General features: G+C 36.6%; 1 long non-coding RNA gene across 2 annotated transcripts in view; it reads left to right on the forward strand.

The window, feature by feature from the left end:
- LOC105374511 (uncharacterized) overlaps positions 1–4,617 on the forward strand; it is a 482,145-nt gene extending 477,528 nt beyond the window's left edge. For both annotated transcript variants that reach the window (NR_188379.1, NR_188378.1), the window contains 2 exons: positions 2,770–2,857; positions 4,495–4,617. This is a non-coding gene — a long non-coding RNA (uncharacterized LOC105374511). The remainder of the gene's footprint in view (positions 1–2,769; positions 2,858–4,494) is intronic.
- Positions 4,618–25,828: the final 21,211 nt, after the last annotated feature.

A 25,828-nucleotide genomic window follows, 5' to 3' on the forward strand; every position in this document is an offset into this window, starting at 1 on the left:
GACTACAATGTCACAGGGAAACAGGAATTTTTTAACATCATTATATTATCATGGGACCACCATTGTATGTGCAGTCTGTCATTGGCTGAAACGTGGTTATATGGAACATGACTGTAGATGATTTGACTTTTGTCAGAGAAGGAAGTTTTTGCTTCATGTGGACTGTTTATTGGAAAAAACGCCTCTTTATGTGTCTTTAAGTAATATCTACTCCCTCTCTGAACTGAGTCCCCCATTCTAAGAGAACTTTCCAGGTACTGGGATGCATCCATGTCTTCACAACCATCTTTCCTGCTCATTGAGTAAAACAGCACATTCTTCTGGGACAGGATTGATCTTTTCCAGTTGAATTACACAGGCTTGAAGTTGTCACTAGTTAGTGTCCAAATGACTATTATTCTACCGAAAAATGTTGTTCTACCACTATAATTTGGTAATTCCAGTACTTGAAGGTCATTGTGACTATATATACACTAGACTGCAAAGTTTTTGAGGATGGGGACAATGTAATATTGTCTCAATACCCATTAACCAGTATAACTGTCACAAACACAGACACACACACACACACACACACACACACACACACACACACACCCCTTCACCTCCAGTACCAAACAGAATACATCCACTAGGCATTAAACATCATTATTGAATGAATTTATAAATGAATAAGAAGATGAATGAATGAAGAACTTGCTAAGTGACAAAGATAAATAAATACATTTGTAGAGACATAAAGAGAAATTATATTTAATGTAGCAATGCCATCTAATTAGTAAATAGGCTAAAGGGATACCTAAAATAAAACAGGTTTTCTAAAGATGAACCCTCTATGGTGAAATATGCTACTTTATATAGTATAAGTATCCAAATAAAGTTTCCATCGGTATAGTGCAGTGCAGTCTTTCCTTGGCAGTACATTTATCTATACAATCTCTAAGCTACAAACTCTAACTTTACACACTTTTTAAAAATTATCTTTCACTGGATTAAAAATGGAAACTCTCTGAATTGATATATGTTCTTGACGTTATTCTCTTCTTTGGATAATAGCCTTTGTACATCTCATTTATGGTAACATCAATTTCACAAAGGATTATTGGGTTGTGTCAGCCAGAATAAGCTAGGTTAGGTTTTGGTAACAAACTCTAAATCTCAGTGGCCTAAAACAGCAAAGATTTGTTTCTCACTCACGTTACATGCCCATCTAGGGCTCTGCTCCTGTGGTCTTTAATAAAGAACATAGGCCAGTGGGCTCTATTATCAGGTACATCCCACTAATAGGAAAAGGCACACAGCAAGTCATCCAGGAGCTCTTCACCAGGAGGTGACATGTACTACCGCCACACAGGAATTTTTGACCAAAGCAAGGGTTATCTCATTAGGCATGAGATATTTCTGCTCATTTTATATTTTAGAACATTATATTAAAATGAGCTATTTAAAAACTGTCAGTCACCCAGCTGGTGTTCTTTGCTTCCTTAATGCAAGGAATATTTCTGGCAAAAAGTAATTTTTTTCTGGCAGCAGCAGGAAAAAAAAATCCCTCCTATACCTGTTCAGATAGCTAGTATAACATTTACAAAAACAAACAAACAAACAAACAAACAGAAAATAACAAGTTGGCAAGGATATGGAGAAATTATTACCCTTAGACCTTCTCGGTGGAAATGTAAAATGGTGCAGTCACTATGATAAAACGTATAGCGGTTTCTCAAAACCTTAAACATAGCATTACTAAATGATCCAGTAGTTCCACTTTTGGCACACACTACAAAGATTTTAAACCAGGGACTTAAACAGATATTTGTACATCAAAATTTATAGCAACATTATTCACAATAGCCAAAAAGGTAGAAATAACTCAAATGCCCATAATGGATGAGTGGATAAACAAAATGTGTTGTATACATACAATAGAAATCATTCAGTCTTAAAAAAGGAAGAAAATTCGGATGCATGTTACAACCTGGATGAACTCTGAAGATATTATGTTGAGCAAAATAAGTTGGACACAAAACAACAAATATTGTGTAATTCTGCTTATATGACATGAGTAGAATAGTCAAATTCATAGAGACAGAAACTAGAATAAAAATGATTACAAAGGCCTGGGGGAAGGAAGGGAATGAGGAGTTAGGATTTAATAGGTACAGAATTTCAGTTTGGAATAGTGAAAAATTTCTGGATACAGTTAGTGCTGTTGGTTGCACAACAATACGAAAATACTTAATGCCACTGAATTACACACTTTAAAAATGGTAAATTTTATGTTCTGTATATGTTATTGCAATAAAAGTGAAAAATTGAGGACAGGAATTTCTCCTGCTTTTTCTCTGGCCATTTTCTAGGGCCATTTGTAGAAATATTTTATTTCTACATGTATCTGAATTCTGGCCTCCAATAAATGAGGCAGACTCAAGAATTTGCTCCTTGGATACCATTAATAATTCATAGCATACGAAAGACCCGAGAGAGAGACTGGTTCTGGTTCATGCTAGCTGGAATAAATGAGATCCCAACATTAAAAAGATATGAGTTTATTCCCAAAATCATGAAACAGATCATACCATTTACACCAACTTACTCACGGAATGAGGGTTTTATTTCCCAAAGATTCTCCCTAAAACAACCTCACTATATATGATACATGATGTGTGTGTGTGTGTGTCTTTTACAAACTTTCAAAGTTAGACTGCAGAATTAGCAAATCTAGGACTACAGGCCTAGTGACCAAACATCTATGCATTGTTTACTCCATGCCAGACTCAGCACCAAACACACGAGATGAAACATAAGATGCATAAACACAACCCTTGCCTTTGAAGAAAATTTGCACTAATGGCAGAGATGGGTGAGTAAATAATTCATAATAAAAGATGTCTTTGGTGTTGTGGCAGGCCAATTAATTCTGCATGGAAGGGTCAGAAACAGCTACACTGATAACTTGAGGAATGTTTAAAAGGGCAAATGGGAATTGGTCAAATGAAAAATGGCAGATGAGAAGAAGTGAGTTGTGTTGGCATTACTAGCAGAGGGAACGGTACTAGGAAAGACTGGAAAACCTTGAAATGCACTGCATCCCTCCGAGACAACAAGTCTTCAGCTGTGATTATAAATGGAGAACCTGGTGAAGGTGGCCTGAGATCAATCCAAAGGCAAATCAAGGCCGCAGTGTGAAGGTCCTGGAGCAATATGGAATCCTTATGATAATCTAGTTTTTGAAATATCCGTGTTGTTCCTCATAAACATCAATGATCTCTGCTCTTTAGATGTATTAAAGATTTAGAAAAATATCCATAAATCTTCACGTGCTTATGATAGCTGAAATACAATACTCCCTGAGTTATTGCCAAAATATGTGAAAAATAAAAATAGGCTGTATTTATATGCCACATACATATATTTAAAATGTAAGCCATTTTCTTAAACAGAGAGATGTCTATTTTTCTTAAATATAGAGAGGCCACAAAAGTTTATGTGAAAAAAAAAATGTATGTAAATAATGAATTCAACACTTAAATTTCATTCTGTGAAGTCCAAAGGGAATGGCCTGGCAAGATCAAACTCAGATGACCCCAACTTACAAAAATAAGCCCTATGCTATATGGACCTAAAAATCTCCACCATCAGGAATTTACACGGTGGAAACTAAATCTCAAACTAAACCTCAACCCCAAATCATCCTCTCCTGAAGTTACCAAATTCCTGTCTCCTGACCACATTTACCACTGAGTTACTGTTGAGTCCAGTGCTGTTTCAGTTGCTAAGGTTACATTGCCTGGCTCTTAAAATATTAACTATAATCCTAAAAAAAAAAAAACAACGTCGTGATCAAAATAGCTGGCTGGCTCAACTGCTTTATATACAGTCTATTCTGCTAAGGAAACCTAAACTAGGTGTGATAAATTTATTGGAATAGTGGAAAAATTAAAAGAAATACTGGGTGATGCTGATCAGCAAAGGAGACATTCTGTAAACATTTTGTAATAGCAATCCACAAATTAATGGTTCTACTATGTCTTCCAAATATCCCAGCAACAAAATTTCCCTTTGAAATTAAATGTTAACAATAACAGCAATATTTTTAAATAAAAAGAAAATTTTAACATAAATTTGCTGCATTAAATGTCTTGTTTTATTAAAAAGCAGACATAAAATTTTATACATGTGATATTTATTTAGATATTTAGGTTCTTTGAAATATTTTTTCTTTAATAACCAAAAAGTGCCTGTGATTGAGAAATCAGATGTTAAGCACATTTCAAAGGGTGAAACTTACTGCCACTTATAAGGGCAGTACAAAGAAAAGTTTGCTTATAAGTAGCTTCTATAAAAATGTGTACCTGAATATTTCTCTCAAGGACTTGCAAATTATTACAATGGGATCTTTCAGCCATAATGTCTTATCTGACAATAAGTATTTCAAAAGTTTTTATCTAAGTGACATTGGAATGGAATTGCTATAACTTAGTTTTCTGTTTACAACAGGTGCTGTATGAGTGAGCTGTGGCTGCCATAGCAAGACATCATAGATTGGATGGCTTAAACAACAGAAATTTATTTTTTCACAGTTCTGGAGGCCAGAAATCCCCAATAAAGGTACTGACTGATTAGGTGAGGGCTTTATTTCTGCTGACAGACAACCACCTTCTTGTTGAGTTTTTATACGGTCTTTTCTCTGTGGCTCATAGAGAGAGACAGAGAGAGCTCTGGTGTTTTTTCCTCTTCTTATTAGGACACCAGTCCTGTATCACTAAGGCTCCATCCTGATGATTCCACTTAGCCAGTAACTATGGGAATTAGGGCTTCAACATACAAATTTAGAGAAATGTGATTCCGTTCATAACAGGTGCTTAACTAGAATTCTGTATGCACATTGTTTTATGAAAAAGCGACATGAAACCTAAGGATTTACTGTCTGTTGTAGAATTTCTCATATAAAGAAGAACCTGAGGCAAGTACAGAAATGTTACCTCCCTACCTTCTCATTGGAAAGCAGCTCACAGAGAATACAATAGTTCTACCCACTATGCCCGTATAATGCAATGATATATATCCGTCACTAAAATCTCCATGCTTGTCTCACCCAACGTCTCAAACTATGCTATAACTATTGGCGGATCTCACATAATTGAGCAATCTGAATGATGGAATTGTACACTAGTTGAATACAGGAGATACTATTTTACATAGCACAGCAAAGCTCTCCCATAACTCTACAAATAGGGCTGAAAAAATCAAATACGTAAAATGCAGCGTCATGTTATTGCATGGTTAATAAAATTACTGACTCTTCTCAGCTATCTGAGTGTTTTAGGTTCCTGAGAGCCAAGTCAGTCATGTCATTTCCGAATTTTGGTGATCAAAGGGTGGATGATCACAGTTTTACTCCATTTCAACTTGATTATTAGTTACATTAAAAAAAGGTTTTTCTATGTGTGCTGTGAGACTGATTCTCATTTAGTATGGTTTCATTAAAAATTAGGATCCCTTTTTCCCTCTTGGTTAAGCCAGTAAGATTGTAGATTGTCAGACTCTGCCTTGTTCTTTTCCTGAAATCCAAAGGTAAAATGCAGTAACGAGAGTAGGGATGCCAATAATGTGGAGGCAAGGAAAAAGCAGCTCCAGGGACAACATCGGGAAGCGCGATAGGATGTTGGCTAAAAAGCTTGCTTTTTCACGTTATGTCAGATTTCACATTCTAACTTCATCATTTCCTGGTTAAAGCATCTTGAACAAATCACTTTTTGAATCACTTAGCACCATGGCTTCTACATTTCAAGCCCCAAAGGGTAGGAATTATTATTATTAATGCTATTACCAAAGATGCTAACAAAGGAAAGGGTTTTCACTGTCCAACATGGTTCATGTTTATGAAATATTTATAAATGGTGCTCACATTCAAGAGCAAGCCTGTAGAGATCTTTGGGCAAATGCCTTGTTAAAGAGAATTAATCTAAATATTGTTTGTCATTTGCTCAAGTACACTAATTCTATTAGTCTCAACTATTCAAGGATAATCATTGAAGGCCTAACTCCACAGGAACTGGATTGAAGATAAGATTGGAGGACCACAATTTCACCAGTACGTTACTTAGAATAAGCAACTAGGTCCTCACAACAATCCCTATTTTCCAGATGAGAGTGTTGAGGCTCAGAGAGGTAAGCAAATTGTTTAACTTATTCCAGCTCTCAAGTACACACACTGAAATATAGCCAACACCTTTGTAAAGATTACAATCGAATATATTCTTGTTTTGGGGTTGGCAAACTTTTTAGGTAAAAGACCAGACGTTTTAGGTTTTGCAAGCCACCTGATCTTTGTCTTAAAGACTTTCAACTCTACCTCTTGAAGGCAGCTATTTACAAAATGTAAATGAATAAATGTGACTGTGTTCCCACAAGACTTTATTTATAAATATGAAGACTGGGCCGGGTGCGGTGGCTCACGCCTGTAATCCCAGCAATTTGGGAGGCCAAGGCGAGTGGATCACTTGAGGTCAGGAGCTGGAGATCAGCCTGGCCAACATGGTAAAACCCCATCTCTACCAAAAAATACAAAAATTAGCCAGGCCTGGTGGTGTTTGCCTGTAGTCCCAGCTACTTGGGAGGCTGAGGCTTGAGAATCGTTTGAACCTAGGAAGTGGAGGTTGCAGTGAGCCAAGATTGTGCCACTACACTCCATCCTGGGCAACAGAGTGAGAATCTGCCTCAAAAATAATATAAATAAATAAATAAATAAATAAATAAATAAGAGTGGACAAGATTTAACTCATGAACTGCAGTTTGCTGACCCCTGTTCTAGTTAGAGTTATAACTTAATTTTCACAATAGTTAAGCATTCAGGACAACTGTGTTCATTGTGTCTCCCCAACAGAATGTTTTGAATTTTAATTTCCTAATTCATAGAACTCATAGTAAAAGCCTCTTCCCATGGTCTATTAAAAATTATGTTTTACTGTTTATCTTTAGCCTAAGACATATATTTAGACACTCAAATATATTTTAGACAGATCATCACAGAAGATAACATATATTAAATGAACAAATGAATATATAACCAAAGAAATAAATTACTGGTGTATATGGAGGCAGAACATCTTTACCAAAATCTGCCTCCTGTTTAGATAAATGTGTCAGATATTTATCAAAGGTCTCCTATATGTGAGGTATTCTGCTAAGAAGTAGAGTTGTATGAAAGAATAAGACATAATCTTTCCTTCCAAATGACTTAACTCTGGGAGACAAATAAATGACACAAGTGTAAGTATTACAGTTATGAAAGTTATGTCAACTTTTTCAGAGTACTCATATATGGTAAATGGATTAGTCCAGAAATATTCTCAAATACAGCTTCCTACAGTACCAATCCATATGGTACTACTATTCAAGAAGTGCAAGAATCTATCCTCACACAGCAAAATCACAGTATGTCTACATTTAGCCTGGATTGAATTGATATCAGGATGGTCAAAATTAGAAACATGATTCCATATTGGATATTATTTTGCCATTTCCTTATTTTATTTTTTTAAACAAGTGATACTCTTCTCAAATTCAATATTGGTTCCTTAACCCCAAAATTATTTTGGAAGTGAGTTACATAAATTCTATCCTTTGTAGCCTCTATGCTTTATTCTTTATCCTCATGCTTAACTGGTTTTCTCCAAATGCCTTTTTACTTCCCTTTCCCTTCACAGCAGCCATGCAACCATAACAGAGTTGAGCATAAGTAGGCTTTTTTTTATTGTGTAAAATGCATGAGACACCATAAAAATTGCCAATGCTAAACTGATAACAATTCAAGGAAGATAAATCAAATGCTAAAATATGTGGGAGAACGTATCAATACATAAAAACAGGGTGGGGGAAGTCTGAAATTATCACAGCATGGCTTCAAAAGGAAAGATACTAAGAAAGAGTTTGGAAAATAGTAATATTATCTAGATGAGATGAGTGAGTTTCATTTGTCACAACCCCAGGATCTGAGTCTTGCAGATTATTGTGAATGATGCTTTAAGTGTTATAATAGAACTAAAAGATGTGGAAGCATTTGATTTAATGCAAAGACATCAGTTTTGTCTGCCAAATCCCAAGAAAGACATCTACAAGCCTATCAATCAACATTAGGATCTCTGTGTTGAGCAAATGACATCCAAATCATAAAGCTGTCATCATTTAAAATGTATTTTTAAATCACCTCTCCACTACCATTTATAACGGATACATTTTTAACTCTGATAATTAATCAACTCTGACACATTTCCTTCCTTTTTGCCTTTTTCTCCTCTGAAATCCTTCTTTTATAAGGAGCCATTTTTAATTTCCCATAGGCAGAAAACCAGCCAACATATTCAGGTCCCAAAGTTTCATCTATGATGAAGCTTTGGAAGTTTATGAATTAAGAAAGTTGAAAAGCAATCTTCACTGTAGATAGTATCTTGACATACATGTGTCATGATCAGAGTGACACTTCCCTTAGGAATAGAACCTCACTGGTCATGACTATCTAAGGAAGGCATTGCTTGAAAATTATGTACCTCAAGTTCATGGCCATATCACATTTCCCCACGTCTTCAAGCACCAGTCCATCAGATAATTTCTCTTACAGAGATTCCAGTACTGTAATTTGCCTCTGCTTTAATCAACAGTGAGATAATATAGAAGCCGCATTAAATGATTCAGAATCATTTCATCTGCAGGAAACCCATTAGTCTAACCATATTTTCCCATACTTCTCAGCACCATGTCCTGTCATCTGGAAATAATAGATACCATAAAAGCAAATTCTAAAAGCTTAAAAAAATGCTAGGGCAGAGCACATGGTGTTTATTTGGAGGTTGATATTACCACAAATTAATCAAAATGGGGAATTTTTTCCAGTATATTTGAATTCGATTTCCGTATGAAATAATGCTAAAATGTTACACTTAAACATGATATATTTACATATTTACTTTAATAGATTGGAATATGCCAGATGTGCAAGTGTAGAATCATACTAATGTGGATGTTTTCATTTCCTGTAAATCAATTCATAAAGGTAAAAAAAAAAAAAAAGGGAAACTGGCAGCTTCAGGGAGGGGTTCATGCATGTGAAACATTTTGAGTCAGTAGTCTCATGGTGCACCTCTGGTTATTTTTCATGTGCTGCCAGTCTTCAAGTACCCTAAATGCATTAGAAATTATAATTTAAAAACAAAATTATGAAAGTTTAATGCATGTATTTGGAAAGAGTCAAGGGCCTGGCAAGTGGAAATCTAAACATTTAAAATTTCATCATCCATGGGTGCTGAGTACCTGCTAGATAGGCTCTCCATAAATACTAATTGATAAAGGTTTTACTTTAAAAAAACAGATTCCATAGAACATTCTTCAATTCTCAGAGTGTGTCACCATAGCACTGTAAGTTATAACGAGGCTACTTTGTAGCCAGTAGAAGGAAGAGTTGGAAGAAATAAGGCCTCAAATGATAGGGTGATGGCAATAGCTGGAATGGATTCGACCTTTTTAAGTGAAGGAAAATTTCTAGTTATCAAGTTGCAGAAGGAGAAACTGGTAACATTATAATAATCAGTAGAAAATGCTAATCCTTAATGAGCGTTCCAAGTTCCTACCCCAAACTTCAAAGTTTACTAGGTCTTTGCAAGATGGGTGAAGAGAATGGTTATCAAGTAATAACAAATGCCTGTAGTGTTTTTAAATAGATAATGCAAATCAAATAAATAGTCTTAAGTGACTTAATTGATTGCTACACTATTTATGACAATACACTCAGCGAGGATTCATGTATTATTTTAGTGAAGTCAATAAAACTGCAATGGTTAAGAACTACTTTCCATTCCATATCTGTCTTTTAAACTCACTGTAAGTATCACAGGAGCTAATGAAGGTAAAATGGTTAATGCAATGTCTGGCTTTCAGTAAGTAAAAACATTAAACAATTCTTACCCTTATGGATGTGATGGTTAAAAAGGTAAACAAAGAATATAAGTAACTCGAGAATGGGAAAAAGAACCCAAGCCTTTTTGATCTATTAAAAACAAGAATCAACACTTTATGACCCTTATCACATGCGTGCATTAAATATTTTTGAAATATTAATTCATGTATTATTCACCATATTCTGATAATACAGATACCTTTATTCCCATTTTATGGATGAAAGAAATTTGAGCACACAGAGGTTATGTAATTTCCCCTAAGTCACAGACCTGGTATACAGCAGACCAGGAATTTTAATTTAACAGGCAAATTCCCACTATAGCTTATCTCCTAGACAATTGACTATGCAGCCTCCTCTTTTCATTTTTATTATAGCTATTAACAATGAAACTATTGACTCGTTTCTTATAACTATAAGCAATTTCAAAATAGCATATTTTGTGATAGCCTAGCAATTATGAGACCAAATATCACTGGGATCATTTTTCTCTTTATATTCAAGCCTAAACCAGAGCAGTATAAGTTTGTGCTAATTCTGCTTTATTATCTCCTCTGAGAATAAGCTGAAAGCTTTATACTATGAACAGGAAAGATGTCTGTCTTCATGAGAACTAAGATCCCATGCCAATAAAAATGATAAAGAATAAAAGTGTTTTGTTTTGAATTCATTGTTTGACTAAAGCACTTAAACCCCAAATGTATGATCCCAGAATTATCTAGGTGTCTATTATCCTTCATAATGTGAAAGACAATTTAAATTTGATTTTAAAGTATCCAAGGAAACAAAACTGGGTGAAAAATGGGATGAAAAGGAGAGAAAAGAGAAATATCGCAAATGCCTTTCAAAAATATTCTACCCACACTACAGTTTTGGGCAACATTGTCAGAAGAGAAACATTTAACACTCCCTTTATTTAAAGTCGGATTTGTTTAACTGGCCAGGGCTTAAGAAAATGTTATGCCTTTTCTGTGGGAACATTTTCTAAGAACGAATTTAACTTGGCTTCTATGAAAGTTGTTTTTGTTGTTTGGAGTTTTTTAATGTTAGTATTTGAAATGACTTTGTTTTCTTTGGGATGGAGGGAGCAACTTTTCATACAATTTAGTGGTTTCATGAAACCACCTCCACTGGACTCTCATATATTCCATGTACTATATATAATATATATTTCAGCTGGGTTTGTTTTCCCAAAATCCAAGAACTTTTACATAAAAGTTGCTCAATTTCAGAAATATTTAAACCACAGGGAAGATAATTCTAGATGACACTGAACTACAGGGGTTTCCTAAGCAAACTGCATATCATTTCACCTCCCTCAGCGGTCTTCAGTTTTGCATCTTAGGGCCTCAATTTAAAAGCTACCATATTCTGCTTCAATGTATGTCTGATTTAGAAGCCCAGACAATTTTGCTTCAATCAATGCAACACCCTGAAGCTCCTTCCTCCATCTCCACATTTCCTCACATTCAGCCCTGTCTCTCCTGACACATACACTCAATACAGGTAAATCTAAGAGTCCAAACATGGTTTTGGACTGTGCTTGGTTTCTCTTTCAACCACAAGAACATTATGCAACCTCAGAACAGCTCTAAGCCAGATTCCTGTTCAGGTGACACAAGACAGCCTGATTACTGTCTTTATTTACTACCTGGCACTTGGGGAGTTCCAAGGAGGGTTTGATGAGAAACTTTTTGTATTTTTTTAAATTAAAGTTAGGAATTAGGAGTCATGCATTTTTTTCCTTTTGATTATCATAGACAACCTGGAATAAGTTGTACAATAGATATGGCATAAAACCAGAATTTGTCTTTCAACCCAACTCAAACATGGAAAATTGGACTAGAGTGTTTTATACCATGTTCGAACAGTGATTTAGGAGAGTTTAATGATGAAACGCCTTACCAGAGTGTGAGAAAAGTGAAGAAAAATCAAAAAAGGAACAATAAGACACAGAGTGGTGCTTACTCTGGACCCAAAAAAGAAAGGGGAGTTTATTTACCATCAGACAGCAGCTATAGCTTCAGGAAAAAGATTGAGGTCACAGCAGGAGGACAATCACTGCCAACCCTCTCTTTCTGTTTGTTATCTGCTCCAGTCTCTCCTATTGCCAAAGCCAGCTGGAAGCCAGAGGGCAAGGGAATCCTCTCCTACAATCCAGGCAGGTCAGCCTCCCAGGGCACAGGGCCAAGTAAACTGGTGAATGGATCTGGACAGGCAAACGAAATATCCAGCAAAAACATACTACGGATTATGTTTAAAAAATGGTAGATTAATCAATTGATAGATTGAACAGAAGCAATTTATTTGGACCCTATTTAATTCAAATATGTTAAAATGTTGAATACCCTTTGTATCACATCCACTGTAAGTGAAGTCTGAAAACTTTCTCCTACCAAAGCCGAACTACGTTGAAACTATATAGGCACACCTCTATGAATAAAAACATTTATTAACCAAAGTATTGCTTTCTTTCAAAATAAATCACTTTATACTTTGGGGGAAAAAAAGATTGTAATTGGATCTTTCCCATTCTGTCTTTGCTCTGGGATTTTAAAAGGCATTCTGCAACATTTTCAATTCAGGTTTAAAAACCAAGATTATGAGATTCTGGGAATTGCAAAATGATCATTTTTCCAATAAAAATGGTTTTGAGTGATCACACTAGACTGTTTCTGTAAACTGAACTGAGGTCAGAGGATAAACATTTCTGTTCAGTAACTGTTGTTATAAAAAAGCATTGCCATATTAAGAAATGTTACAGTAGGTAGCTAGCCAGGCATAAGCAGGCAGGAGAGGGCTCCCCCAACCGACACCAAGAATGTCAGGTGACCATAGGATAATGGTCAGGAAGTTGTCACACTGCCTCTCTAAAATAACAATTGTTCACAGCCAGTGCCGGAGAAAAGCTGTTTCTCAATAGATAAAAACAACTGAAACTGGTGATCAGTTCCCAATAAGATCTTAGGAATTGGGAGAGTGGGCTCAAGCATGCATATTAAGAGGCAAAATGGTGGAGTTTAACTGGAATATGACCTTCTGGGGGCATTCCACTGGAAAAGGAAAGAACGCGTCTGGTAAGCATGAGTACGACTGCAGTAAATACACTGCAAGTGCTCCCCTTTCAAGCCCTGACAGGCCATTGTGCATGTGGACAACGTACCATAAGGGAAGAATCAGGGGAGAAGGGATACAAGACCTCAGAAGTATGCCAACATTCAAAACCCCAAGTCAAAAGGTCAAACCACACATTTGTGCTTCAAATGGCTCAGTTGGGTCTCTTCCAAGTGTACTTTCCTTCATGTGGTTCCTGCTCTAAAGCTTTTCAACAAACTTTCACTCCTGCTCTAAAACTATCCTTGGTGTCTTCTTCTGCCTTATGCCTCACAGTTGAATCATTTCCTCTGAGGAGGCAAGAATTGAAGTTTCTACAGATTTGCTGTACGGATTTGCTGCCAGTAACTTGCATAACTTCCACCAGTAACAGAAATAGTGGAGAAATAAAAAATAAAATAATTATAAAAAAGACCCAGCTGCAACCATCTACCCTGGGTGTTAATGAAGTTAGCTATTTAGCCAAGTAATTGGATGCCTTTTCTAGCCTTTGTTGACTCACAAGCAATAAAATAAAATGTGTAAATACTTCATTTCCCTTGTGCTAGGGTTCCACTGACAGATACCATGGGATTCTGACCTTGCAGCAGCTAGACACTTTTTCAAAAGGACCAGAGCCACTCCCTGGCCATGACGGATCAAGGACTGTATGAATTCTCATTGCCAAAAAATAATATTAACACAGTAATTGGGGCAATTAGAATCTGGTCCAGGTACCCACAAAAATAAACAGCGACTTTTTCAAGTTTCATACATAACCTACTTGACATCGAATTATTAAAAATTATCTAATACAAGATGCACACCTGCCACTACCTTGCTCTACAGGCCAATGTGAGAAAGACAAAGGAAAAGAGAGAGAAACAAGCACTTACACATAAGGAGCCTGTTTGAATTAAGCTCCACAACAAGTCCTAAGACTGGTGGATAATTAAGGGAAATATCTTTGTATTTACAAATGAAAAGGTGTTCACTCTTTCTCAGGCCATATCAGACACAGAAGAGTATAAGCCCAGTTATGCAGCCTGTTTGCTCACCCAGTTTCTGCCATACTGACAACCCTTAACTCCTCAAGCCAATAGCCCATTATTTCCCTTGCAACTTTTGCCCATTTGCTTTGTTCTGGTGGGGTATGCATTCCCTGTCTTGTTGCATGGCTCCTATTCAAACATGCCCCCTTCCCATTCTCTAACCCTGGAGGTGTGACCATTTCCTGCATTTCTCCCTCTAGATAGATGGTAAACCCTGTGAGGACAAGAACTGTGTCTGCGTGTCCTCTTCTCAGTACTTAACACAGTGCTTCACACATAGTAGATCCTTAATAAATATTTGTTCAATGCATGAATGAAATTCTCATCTAACTTTAATTATAGAACTATACAGTAACCTGCCAGAAGGCATGTTTTCTTTGTCTCTTCTTTTCTTTTTTAATATGGGAAACTATATCAAAACTTTCCCATAGCTTTTGTACTCATAATACTCTGAGTAGGTTTCTGGAATGTCATAAACAGCAATCCCTTGCCACATCATTGTAACAAAGAGTCCTGCTGCCAACAGAGCTGCAAACCGCAGTGCAGACAGAGCTGGGAATCTTGCATTCAGTTCATTCTGTGATTGTGTTTATGTAGACTTTCTCTTTACAAGAGCTCAAGAGAGAAGGTATTAACCCTCACAGTGTTTTGTGAAGATGTCTCTTCTCTCCTATTAATATATACTATGGAGATTAAAGTGACTAACACAGAAAACTACTGACATTGTTCACTTAGTACCAAGAAAACCTCCTGGTCTGGCAGGTGTGGCTTAGAACCCAGCATCACAGGAGAAATTCCAAAACTGGGGCTTAGCCTGGGTGGCCACATGGGTTCTTGGCTTTGTGCAGGAATGAATTCAAGTGAGCCCACATAGTAAAGTGAAGGCAAGTTTCCTAAGAAAGTAAAGTAATAAAAGGGTGGCTACTCCATAGGCAGAACAGCCTTGAGGGCTACTGAGTGGCTATTTGTACAGTTATTTATTGATTATATGCCAAACAAGGGGTGGATTACTTGTGAGTTTTCTGGGGAAGGTGTGGGGAAATTCCTGGAACTGACCATATGGGGTAACTTGTGGACATTGCCATGGCATCTCTAAACAGTCATGGTGCTGGTGGGAGTTTTATTTAATATGCTAATATATTATAATTAGAGTATAATGAGCAGTGAGGGTGACCAGAAGTTTCTTTTATCACCCTCTTGGTTTTGATGGGTTTTAGCTGTCTTCTTTATGGCATCCTGTTTTATCAACTGAGTCTTTGTGACCTGTACCTTGTGAAACCAGTCTTGCAGGATAGAACTCCTATCAAACTAGTAGTCAAAAGTTCCAAAGACTTAGGAGAGGGTGGCCACAGTACAGGATATGTTTTTCTGTTTTGCTGACTGGCAGAACTTTTTAACTTCTCTGAGGCTCATTGGATAACGCAGAACTTGCAGAGTCATTGTAAGAATAATAAAAATAATAAAATAATAAATATGATAAAAATAATAAAATCACACACTTATGTACACATACACACATAAATACACATACATATTTACGTATATACATATATATACACACACATGCCCATGATCACACACATGCACACATCCACACACACACACACACAAACACATATGCCTAGATCAGTATCTTGCACAAAGGAGGTATTAGATTATTAAAAGTTTATCACTTTTACTACTGTTACATCAAGATGTTGGAAGGATGGACAAAATATTTAGCTGCCAATTTTCATACCCAAGAACTCTACTTACAGAGAATTTCAAGATATACAGAACTATCAAACAACAAGAAATGTGTTAAGTAGAACATAGAGTATAACAGCAAAAAGGCTTTCCTGGAAAAACATAAACTACACTAAGTAAAATATTTAAAAAAGGGAAAAAAATAGAAAATGAACTTGAAATAACAAATTGAGGTGTTCTTTTTTTTTTTTTATTATACTTTAAGTTTTAGGGTACATGTGCACATTGGGCAGGTTAGTTACATATGTATACATGTGCCATGCTGGTGCGCTGCACCCACTAACTCGTCATCTAGCATTAGGTATATCTCCCAATGCTATCCCTCCCCCCTCCCCCCACCCCACCACAGTCCCCAGAATGTGATATTCCCCTTCCTGTGTCCATGTGATCTCATTGTTCAATTCCCACCTATGAGTGAGAATATGCGGTGTTTGGTTTTTTGTTCTTGCGATAGTTTACTGAGAATGATGGTTTCCAATTTCATCCATGTCCCTACAAAGGACATGAACTCATCATTTTTTATGGCTGCATAGTATTCCATGGTGTATATGTGCCACATTTTCTTCATCCAGTCTATCATTGTTGGACATTTGGGTTGGTTCCAAGTCTTTGCTATTGTGAATAATGCCGCAATAAACATACATGTGCATGTGTCTTTATAGCAGCATGATTTATAGTCATTTGGGTATATACCCAGTAATGGGATGGCTGGGTCAAATGGTATTTCTAGTTCTAGATCCCTGAGGAATCGCCACACTGACTTCCACAATGGTTGAACTAGTTTACAGTCCCACCAACAGTGTAAAAGTGTTCCTATTTCTCCACATCCTCTCCAGCACCTGTTGTTTCCTGACTTTTTAATGATTGCCATTCTAACTGGTGTGAGATGATATCTCATAGTGGTTTTGATTTGCATTTCTCTGATGGCCAGTGATGATGAGCATTTTTTCATGTGTTTTTTGGCTGCATAAATGTCTTCTTTTGAGAAGTGTCTGTTCATGTCCTTCGCCCACTTTTTGATGGGGTTGTTTGTTTTTTTCTTGTAAATTTGTTTGAGTTCATTGTAGATTCTGGATATTAGCCCTTTGTCAGATGAGTAGGTTGCGAAAATTTTCTCCCATTCTGTAGGTTGCCTGTTCACTCTGATGGTAGTTTCTTTTGCTGTGCAGAAGCTCTTTAGTTTAATTAGATCCCATTTGTCAATTTTGGCTTTTGTTGCCATTGCTTTTGGTGTTTTGGACATGAAGTCCTTGCCCACGCCTATGTCCTGAATGGTAATGCCTAGGTTTTCTTCTAGGGTTTTTATGGTTTTAGGTCTAATGTTTAAATCTTTAATCCATCTTGAATTGATTTTTGTATAATGTGTAAGGAAGGGATCCAGTTTCAGCTTTCTACATATGGCTAGCCAGTTTTCCCAGCACCATTTATTAAATAGGGAATCCTTTCCCCATTGCTTGTTTTTCTCAGGTTTGTCAAAGATCAGATAGTTGTAGGTATGCGGCGTTATTTCTGAGGGCTCCACAGAAATACAAACTACCATCAGAGAATACTACAAACACCTCTACGCAAATAAACTAGAAAATCTAGAAGAAATGGATACATTCCTCGACACATACACTCTCCCAAGACTAAACCAGGAAGAAGTTGAATCTCTGAATAGACCAATAACAGGAGCTGAAATTGTGGCAATAATCAATAGTTTACCAACCAAAAAGAGTCCAGGACCAGATGGATTCACAGCCGAATTCTACCAGAGGTACAAGGAGGAACTGGTACCATTCCTTCTGAAACTATTCCAATCAACAGAAAAAGAGGGAATCCTCCCTAACTCATTTTATGAGGCCAGCATCATTCTGATACCAAAGCCGGGCAGAACAACCAAAAAAGAGAATTTTAGACCAATATCCTTGATGAACATTGATGCAAAAATCCTCAATAAAATACTGGCAAACTGAATCCAGCAGCACGTCAAAAAGCTTATCCACCATGATCAAGTGGGCTTCATCCCTGGGATGCAAGACTGGTTCAATATACGCAAATCAATAAATGTAATCCAGCATATAAACAGAGCCAAAGACAAAAACCACATGATTATCTCAATAGATGCAGAAAAAGCCTTTGACAAAATTCAACAACCCTTCATGCTAAAAACTCTCAATAAACTAGGTATTGATGGGACGTATTTCAAAATAATAAGAGCTATCTATGACAAACCCACAGCCAATATCATACTGAATGGGCAAAAACTGGAAGCATTCCCTTTGAAAACTGGCACAAGACAGGGATGCCCTCTCTCACCGCTCCTATTCAACATAGTTTTGGAAGTTCTGGCCAGGGCAATCAGGCAGGAGAAGGAAATAAAGGGTATTCAATTAGGAAAAGAGGAAGTCAAATTGTCCCTGTTTGCAGATGACATGATTGTGTATCTAGAAAACCCCATCGTCTCAGCCCAAAATCTCCTTAAGCTGATAAGCAACTTCAGCAAAGTCTCAGGATACAAAATCAATGTACAAAAATCACAAGCATTCTTATACACCAACAACAGACAAACAGAGAGCCAAATCATGAGTGAACTCCCATTCACAATTGCTTCAAAGAGAATAAAATACCTAGGAATCCAACTTACAAGGGATGTGAAGGACCTCTTCAAGGAGAACTACAAACCACTGCTCAAGGAAATAAAAGAGGATACAAACAAATGGAAGAACATTCCATGCTCATGGGTAGGAAGAATCAATATCGTGAAAATGGCCATACTGCCCAAGGTAATTTATAGATTCAATGCCATCCCCATCAAGCTACCAATGACTTTCTTCACAGAATTGGAAAAAACTACTTTAAAGTTCATATGGAACCAAAAAAGAGCCCGCATCGCCAAGTCAATCCTAAGCCAAAAGAACAAAGCTGGAGGCATCACACTACCTGACTTCAAACTATACTACAAGGCTACAGTAACCAAAACAGCATGGTACTGGTACCAAAACAGAGATATAGATCAATGGAACAGAACAAACTGAGGTGTTCTTAAGGCACATTTTATCTCTGTATAAGATAAGAAGGGAAGGTCAACTGATAAATGTCTAAAACAGTCAAACGTTTTCAATATTTTTGTAATTTCTATTCTTACAAACATACAGACATGAACTGTATTTAATATGCATACTTTGGAACACAGCATTTATTCCCAGCAGAAGTCCCAGTGGGAGCCCTGGTTATAGGACCCAGCATTCAGATGCCCTTACCATGGTCTGGAGGGTCAGAGGGATAAACCTTCCTATGGTTGGTTTTGTACAAAGAACAAAGCAACCTCCTGGGAAAACATTTCTGCTGGTCAACAGGAAGTCTGGTCCTCCCCTTATGCTTGTGCTAATTATGCAGTGTTTATAACTATCTCACAAATAAGAGCAGTAGAAGATGAAATTTTGCCAAACCTCCCTTCATCAAGCTTTGTGCCAAGACACAAGGCTGGATACAACACAGAAGGGGCACTTTGTTTCATTTCAACCACAAAAAATCCCTAGCTTCAACATTGAGGGAGGTAAGGTAGTAAAGCTCAGTGTTGGAGAGAGGAAGAAAGCCGGGGTGCATGCTAGTAAATTTCTTCCTTACTTCACTCTTTTCTACCAGAGATTATAGCCAAATGAGGAAAAGTAAATGGTGAGAAATATCAAGAGAGAGGATAGTTCACAGACATTTCTACAAATTACCAAGTACCCACAGAAATAGTGGTGGGAATTGTGTAAAGAATAGAAAGAGAGTTTTCCTTGAGGCAACTTCTGTAGCCCTTGGGACATGAGATGAAGATGCTGGTCCCGGCTGTGGGAGTGCCAACCTAATGCTGTAAGGAAGAGGATGCATGGAAGACACTGATCACTGGGAAGAGCGGAAATCAGTAGAACATCACTGAGAGAGGCAGGCAAAGCGAAGAAGTAAGTGACAAAAGCCTTGCAGCAGCTGAGTGCATGCTCTTGAAAAATGGTAAATGTAGATGGAGAGAAATCCAGGGCAATTGCCATTCTGAGAATGAACTGCCTCAAAATTTACTAGGGAGCTTTGATAAATAAAATTCCTGGCCACACTCTGAGAGTTGGTAAATTTGAATTCACATCCTGGAAATCTGAATCTTTAAGATGTCTCCTAGGTACTACCCTGGATTTGAAAACAACGCATGTAGAGTGGGAACAGTAGATAATCCCTGGAGACCTTCATTTCTTGCTGAGGAATACTCAAGAATTGATCAGAAGGGTTGAAGTTTCTGCAGAGTAGAAATAGACAAAACAGAAAAATACATTTTTCTTACAGTTTGTATATCCATATCCTTTTAGTGACGATGTCAGAGTAGCTTAGCATCTTTTTGGTGTTTATGGAAGAACTAGGAAGCAAATTTCAATAGTAAAAATAAATATTTTTAAAGACACTTGCTTAATTGGCAAAGCAATCACAAGAAAAATGTGCATTAAATATCTACAGAACCAATAGTTGGTATGGATTATTTATTTGGTTTCAATATTTTCTTTCAATAATATTGAAAATTTATAGTAAGTAAGAAAAGTTTTAGGTATTTTGAGAGTTTGGGTACAGGAGCAATGAAATAAAATTCATATTTTAAATTCAATTTTAAATTCACATTTTAAGTTCACAAATTAAATTTACTGAAAATGCACACACCAATAAATTATCAATTTGTAAATTCCTAAAGCTAGGCATTACAGAGTTTCCAGCAAAACAATTTGGTTTTTAATAATTCGCTTTCTTTTGTGAACACAAGATAACTGAATAAGTGGAGGAAAAGAAATGAATAAAAACAGAAAATTAATAGATTCTCTATGGACCCCAATAGTCAACATTATACGAATGGAATATATTCCTTAAGTACACCAGAATTGCTTAAGTACACAATCTTAAGGTGTACAGTATCTATGTCCTCACAACTAGAAATAAAAGAATGTTAGAATTTAACATATGTATTTATCTGATTATTGAATTATAAAGTTGAAAAAACTGCAGATAACACTCTTTGGGAGAATAAAATTATTTTTTTCTTTATAGTCAACGTTTAACATTATTGAATGCAGGTAAACCTTAAAAAGTATAGCATCCACTTACAAAGAATCTTATCATTCAAATTTATAGCAGCCAGTCCTGTTTGCATCTTGGGCTAAAGATCTTCTTGCTCAAATAGGACTTTCCACCTGGAGCTGTATACCTATACCTGTTCCCACCACCGTGTTACTAAAAATTATCTGGTGAAAGCACCAGTGGCTACTCTACATCAGCATATCCTAAAATGTTTCTGATGTTTAATAATCAATATTTTTAATGAGTGAATCAATAACAAGTCAGAATTGACATGTGACCTTAGTTGTTCCAATGCACTGTTTGTGCATTGTGGTGTCTAGAAGATTCTCTATGCAACAACATAGACCTCTTTCCTATCTGCTGCACAGCTGTTATGAGATTAGGGCTTGATTTTAGTGTAGTTCCTATTTTCTTCTCCCCATTCATTGAAAATAGCTTTTCCTTTTTATGATTTTTCTCTAAAGCAATGATAACTATTCCACTTACCTGTCACTTAAAAAGGAGATTTCTTACTTTTAACTAAAAAGATCATTGTCACCATGGTGATGCTATTTATATCAGGTAAAATAGAGTTCCAGCTGGGATGGACTTCACAACCAGTCTCTCCAACCACCTTCCAATTCCTGCCATTGTTGTTGTAGGAATCCACTGTCCAGTTTCCCTGGTGCAGCATACACAGAGCACACCAAGTCTAATGCTCCCAAGGTACACTCAAGATCTTTTCTGTCTCTGACCCCAGTGTCTTCCACAGTGCTTTGCATTGGGTAAGTTTCATAGTTCCTGTAAAACTGGAAAGCTGTCACTCAGAATGGCCTCTTGCCTTGGTCAGTCCATGCACATGATACAATTGCTTCTGAAACTGCATCCAATTGGTTAGACTTCAGGAGCAACAGGGAAAGTGTAGCATTAGTTGCTGTTATTGCACAGCCAACTGGCCACACAATGTAGCATATGAGGTAGGGAAGAGAGGATGATTTCTTCCTTCCTATTCTTGATTCTTTGCTGAAAGGCCCACCTCAGATCTCTTTAGTCTGAGAATCAGGGTCATTCCTATGGTTTAAAAGGCCAAGAAGTACCAGAACAAGGAGCAAGGTAGTTGTATCAGCTTTTTTCTTGTATTAATTATTTTTTGAAATGGGCATTGTAGAGTAATAGTGATAGTAGTAGTTCTTTGTAACATAAATTTGTCTGTTGCTTTTCTTATCCAATGAGATATGAAGAAGTCTAGTCATCAGCTTAAATGCTTCTGGGTTTACACACTCTATGGCCTGGCCTAAGTGGAAACTTACCATACACACTGGATCCAGGTTTTGATAAGACAAATTTTATGTTAGTGTTCTCTGGTTTTATTCCTATTTCTAACAACAAAAGTTATGTTTTTATAAAACAGTTTAATAAACATATGAATATAAAAATGAGACAATGGCTAACAAAAAAGTGAGAAGATTTAGTTCTGCTAGCAAACAAATAAAACCAAATGTACCTAGAGTCAATAAAACGATGAAGAGAAAAAAAATGGATTTTATTCAGATTTAAACCCTATTCATGAAGTCAGCACACCTGAATATGTCAAATATGTGAAATACTTGATGAGTCATGGGTTTATTAACTTACTTTGTCCCAAAAAATATCTAAGGCAGATGTTCTTATCAAAAAAGCTCAGACCCTTATAAGACAGATTTCAATTTAATACAATTTTTAAAAATATTTATTAAACATCTGCTATATACGTCTCGGAAAGGATAAGAAAGATGACTCTAAGATCCATAAGACTAAGGAGTATATTATCAATCATATATATAACAGCCACAAGAAGATTAAACACCTAGGAATATATTTAACCAAGGAGGTGAAAGATCTCTGCAAGGAGAGCTACAAAACACTCATAAAAGAAATTACAGAGGACACAAACAAATGGAAAAAACATCCCATGCTCATGGATTGAAAAAGTTGATAGTGTTAAAATGTCCACACCGCCCAAAGCAATCTACAGAGGCAATGCAATTTCTGTCAAATTATCAGCATCATTTTTCACAGAATTAGGAAAAGCAATCCTAAATTTCATACGGAACAAAACTATAGCCCAAATATCCAAAGCAATCCTAAGCAAACGAAACAAACTTGAAAAATCACATTACCTGACTTAAAATTATTTAAGATTACAGTAACTAAAACAGCATGGTACTGGTACAAAAATAGACACATAGATCAATGGAACTGATTAGAGAACCCAGAAATCAAGCCACATACCTACAATGAACTGATCTTTGAGAAAGTCAACAAAAATAAACAATAGAGAAAGGAAGCAATATTCAATAAATGGTACTGGAAAAATTCGCTGCCCATATTCATAAAAAAACTGGACCCCATCTCTCACCATGTACAAAAATTAACTCAAGATGTGTCAAATACTTAAATATATTTAAGACCTGAAACTGTGAAAATCTTAGAAGAAAACCTAGGATAATCTATTCTGGACACTGGCATAGGCAAAGAATTTATTATAAAGACCTCAAAAGCAAATGCAACAAAAACAGAAATAGACAAATGGGACTTAATTAAACTAAAAAGCCTCTACACTGCAAAAGAAATAGTCAACAGAGTAAAGAGACAGCCTATAGAATGGGAGAAAATATTTGCAAATTATGCACCAAACAAAGTATTATTAATTCCAGACTCTATGGGAACTCAAACAACTCAACAAGCAAAACAACAAACAACCCCATTAAAAAGTGGGGAAAGGACATGAACAGACATTTTCCAAAAGCAGATATACAAGTGGCCAACTAACAGAAAAACATGCTCAACATCACTAGTTATCAGAGAAATGAAAATTAAAAACACGAGATATCATCTTACATCAGTCAGAATGGCTTTTTGTTTTTGTTTTTGTTTTGAGAAGAAGTCTCACTCTGTCACCTAAGCTGGAGTGCAGTGGCACAATCTCCACTCACTCCAACCTCTGCTTCCTGGGTTCAAGCAATTCTTCTGCCCCAGCCTCCCAAGTAGCAGGGACTTACAGGTGAGCGCCACCACACCTGACTAATTTTTGTATTTTTAGTAGAGATGGGGTTTTACCATATTGGCCAGGCTGGTCTCGAACTCCTGACTTCATGATCTGCCCGCCTCGGCCTCCCAAAGTGTCGGGATTACAGCCATGAGCCACCACACCTGGCCAGAATGGCTATTATTAGAAAGTCAAAAAACAACTGATGTTGGTTTGAAGGCAGAGAAAAGGGAACATTTATACACTATCGCTGGGAATGTAAATTAGTACAACTTCTATAAAAACAGTATGGGAATTTCTCAAAGAACTAAAAATAGTACTAACATTTGACCCAGTAATTCCACGACTGGATATCTACTCAAAGAAAAATAAATTGTTATATTAAAAGAACACCTGCACTTATATGTTTATCACAGCAGTACTATTCACAGTAGCAAAGTCAAGGAATCAACCTAAGCATCCATCAATGTTTGATTGGATTTAAAAAATGTGGTATGTATACATCATGGAATAATACGCAGCCACAAAATAAGAACAAAATCATGTCCCTTGCAAATGATTTTGGATGAAGCTGGAGGTCATTATCCTAAGTAAAATAATTCAGACAGAAAACCAAATACTGAATATTCTTACTTATAGGTGGAAGCTAAACAATGGGTAAACATGGATATAAAGATGGAAATAATAGACACTGCGGACTCCAAATGTAAAAAACCTGCATATGTACTCTCTGAATCTAAAACTTAAAATATATATTATTAAATGTTTACGTAATGGATATTGTAATTAACCTGATATGATCATCATACAATATATACAGGCACTACAATATCACACTGTACCCCATAAATATGTAAACTTACTGTGTATCAATTATAAATAAAAACTAATCACAAAATCTTTTAAAGGCTAAGAAGTGTATCATATCTGTTTTTCACTAGTTCCTAGCACAGTAACTGGCCTATAGTAAGCAATCAGTAAGTGCATATTTATATAAGGAATAAATTCATTCCCTTTCTTCCAGGGACAAAACCATAGCTTTCGTGATTGGATTGCTTTCCTAGTCCAGGAAATATTTTCACACACCTGTTTGTTCCACACACCCCTGGGAGATAGGCAGGAAAAAATATCATTTGTTTTGCCTGTCTGATGAAGCAACTAATTATTGGAGAGTTAAAGCAATTTACCCAAAGCCAGGAAGTTAAGAAGGAACAAAATTGGGAATACTCTTTCCCCTATACCAGGACACCTGGGTGTATTAGTCCATTTTCACACTGCTATGAAGACATGCCTGAGACTGGGTAATTTGTAAAGGAAAGAGGTTTAATAGATTCACAGTTCCACATGGCTGAGGAGGCCTCAAGAAACTTACACTCATGGTGGAAGGGGAAGCGTGCACATCTTACATAGTGGCAGGTGAGAGGAGTGAAGTGTGAGCACAGGAAAAACTGCCACTTTTAAAACCATCAGATCTCATGAGAACTCACTCACTATCACGAGAACAGCATAAGGGAAACTGCACCCATAATCCAATCACCTTCCATCAGGTTCCTCCCTTGACATATGGGGATTACAATTCAAAACGAGATTTGGATGGGGACACAGAGCCAAACCATATCACTGGAGCAACATAGTTAGGTCCTAAGCCATCTCCGTGGTTTACTTTTAAACTCACCTCATAGGGAGCATAATCATCAGAATGCTCCTCCCTTGGTCCATGTAAAGATATTTCATTCAGAAGGTAACCTTCAAACACCACCATGCTTTGCAGACAAGAACTGACATTTCTTGAGTTCTGATTATGTGACGGGCACAGTGCTACATTTTACACGTGTTAGCTTATTTAAACTCCCTAATTAGTGTCTAATATAGGTATCATTTCCCATTTGAGGCATCAGATAT

This window comes from Homo sapiens, chromosome 4, assembly GCF_000001405.40.
Source record: "Homo sapiens chromosome 4, GRCh38.p14 Primary Assembly".
In the NCBI taxonomy this organism is placed as follows: domain Eukaryota; kingdom Metazoa; phylum Chordata; class Mammalia; order Primates; family Hominidae; genus Homo; species Homo sapiens.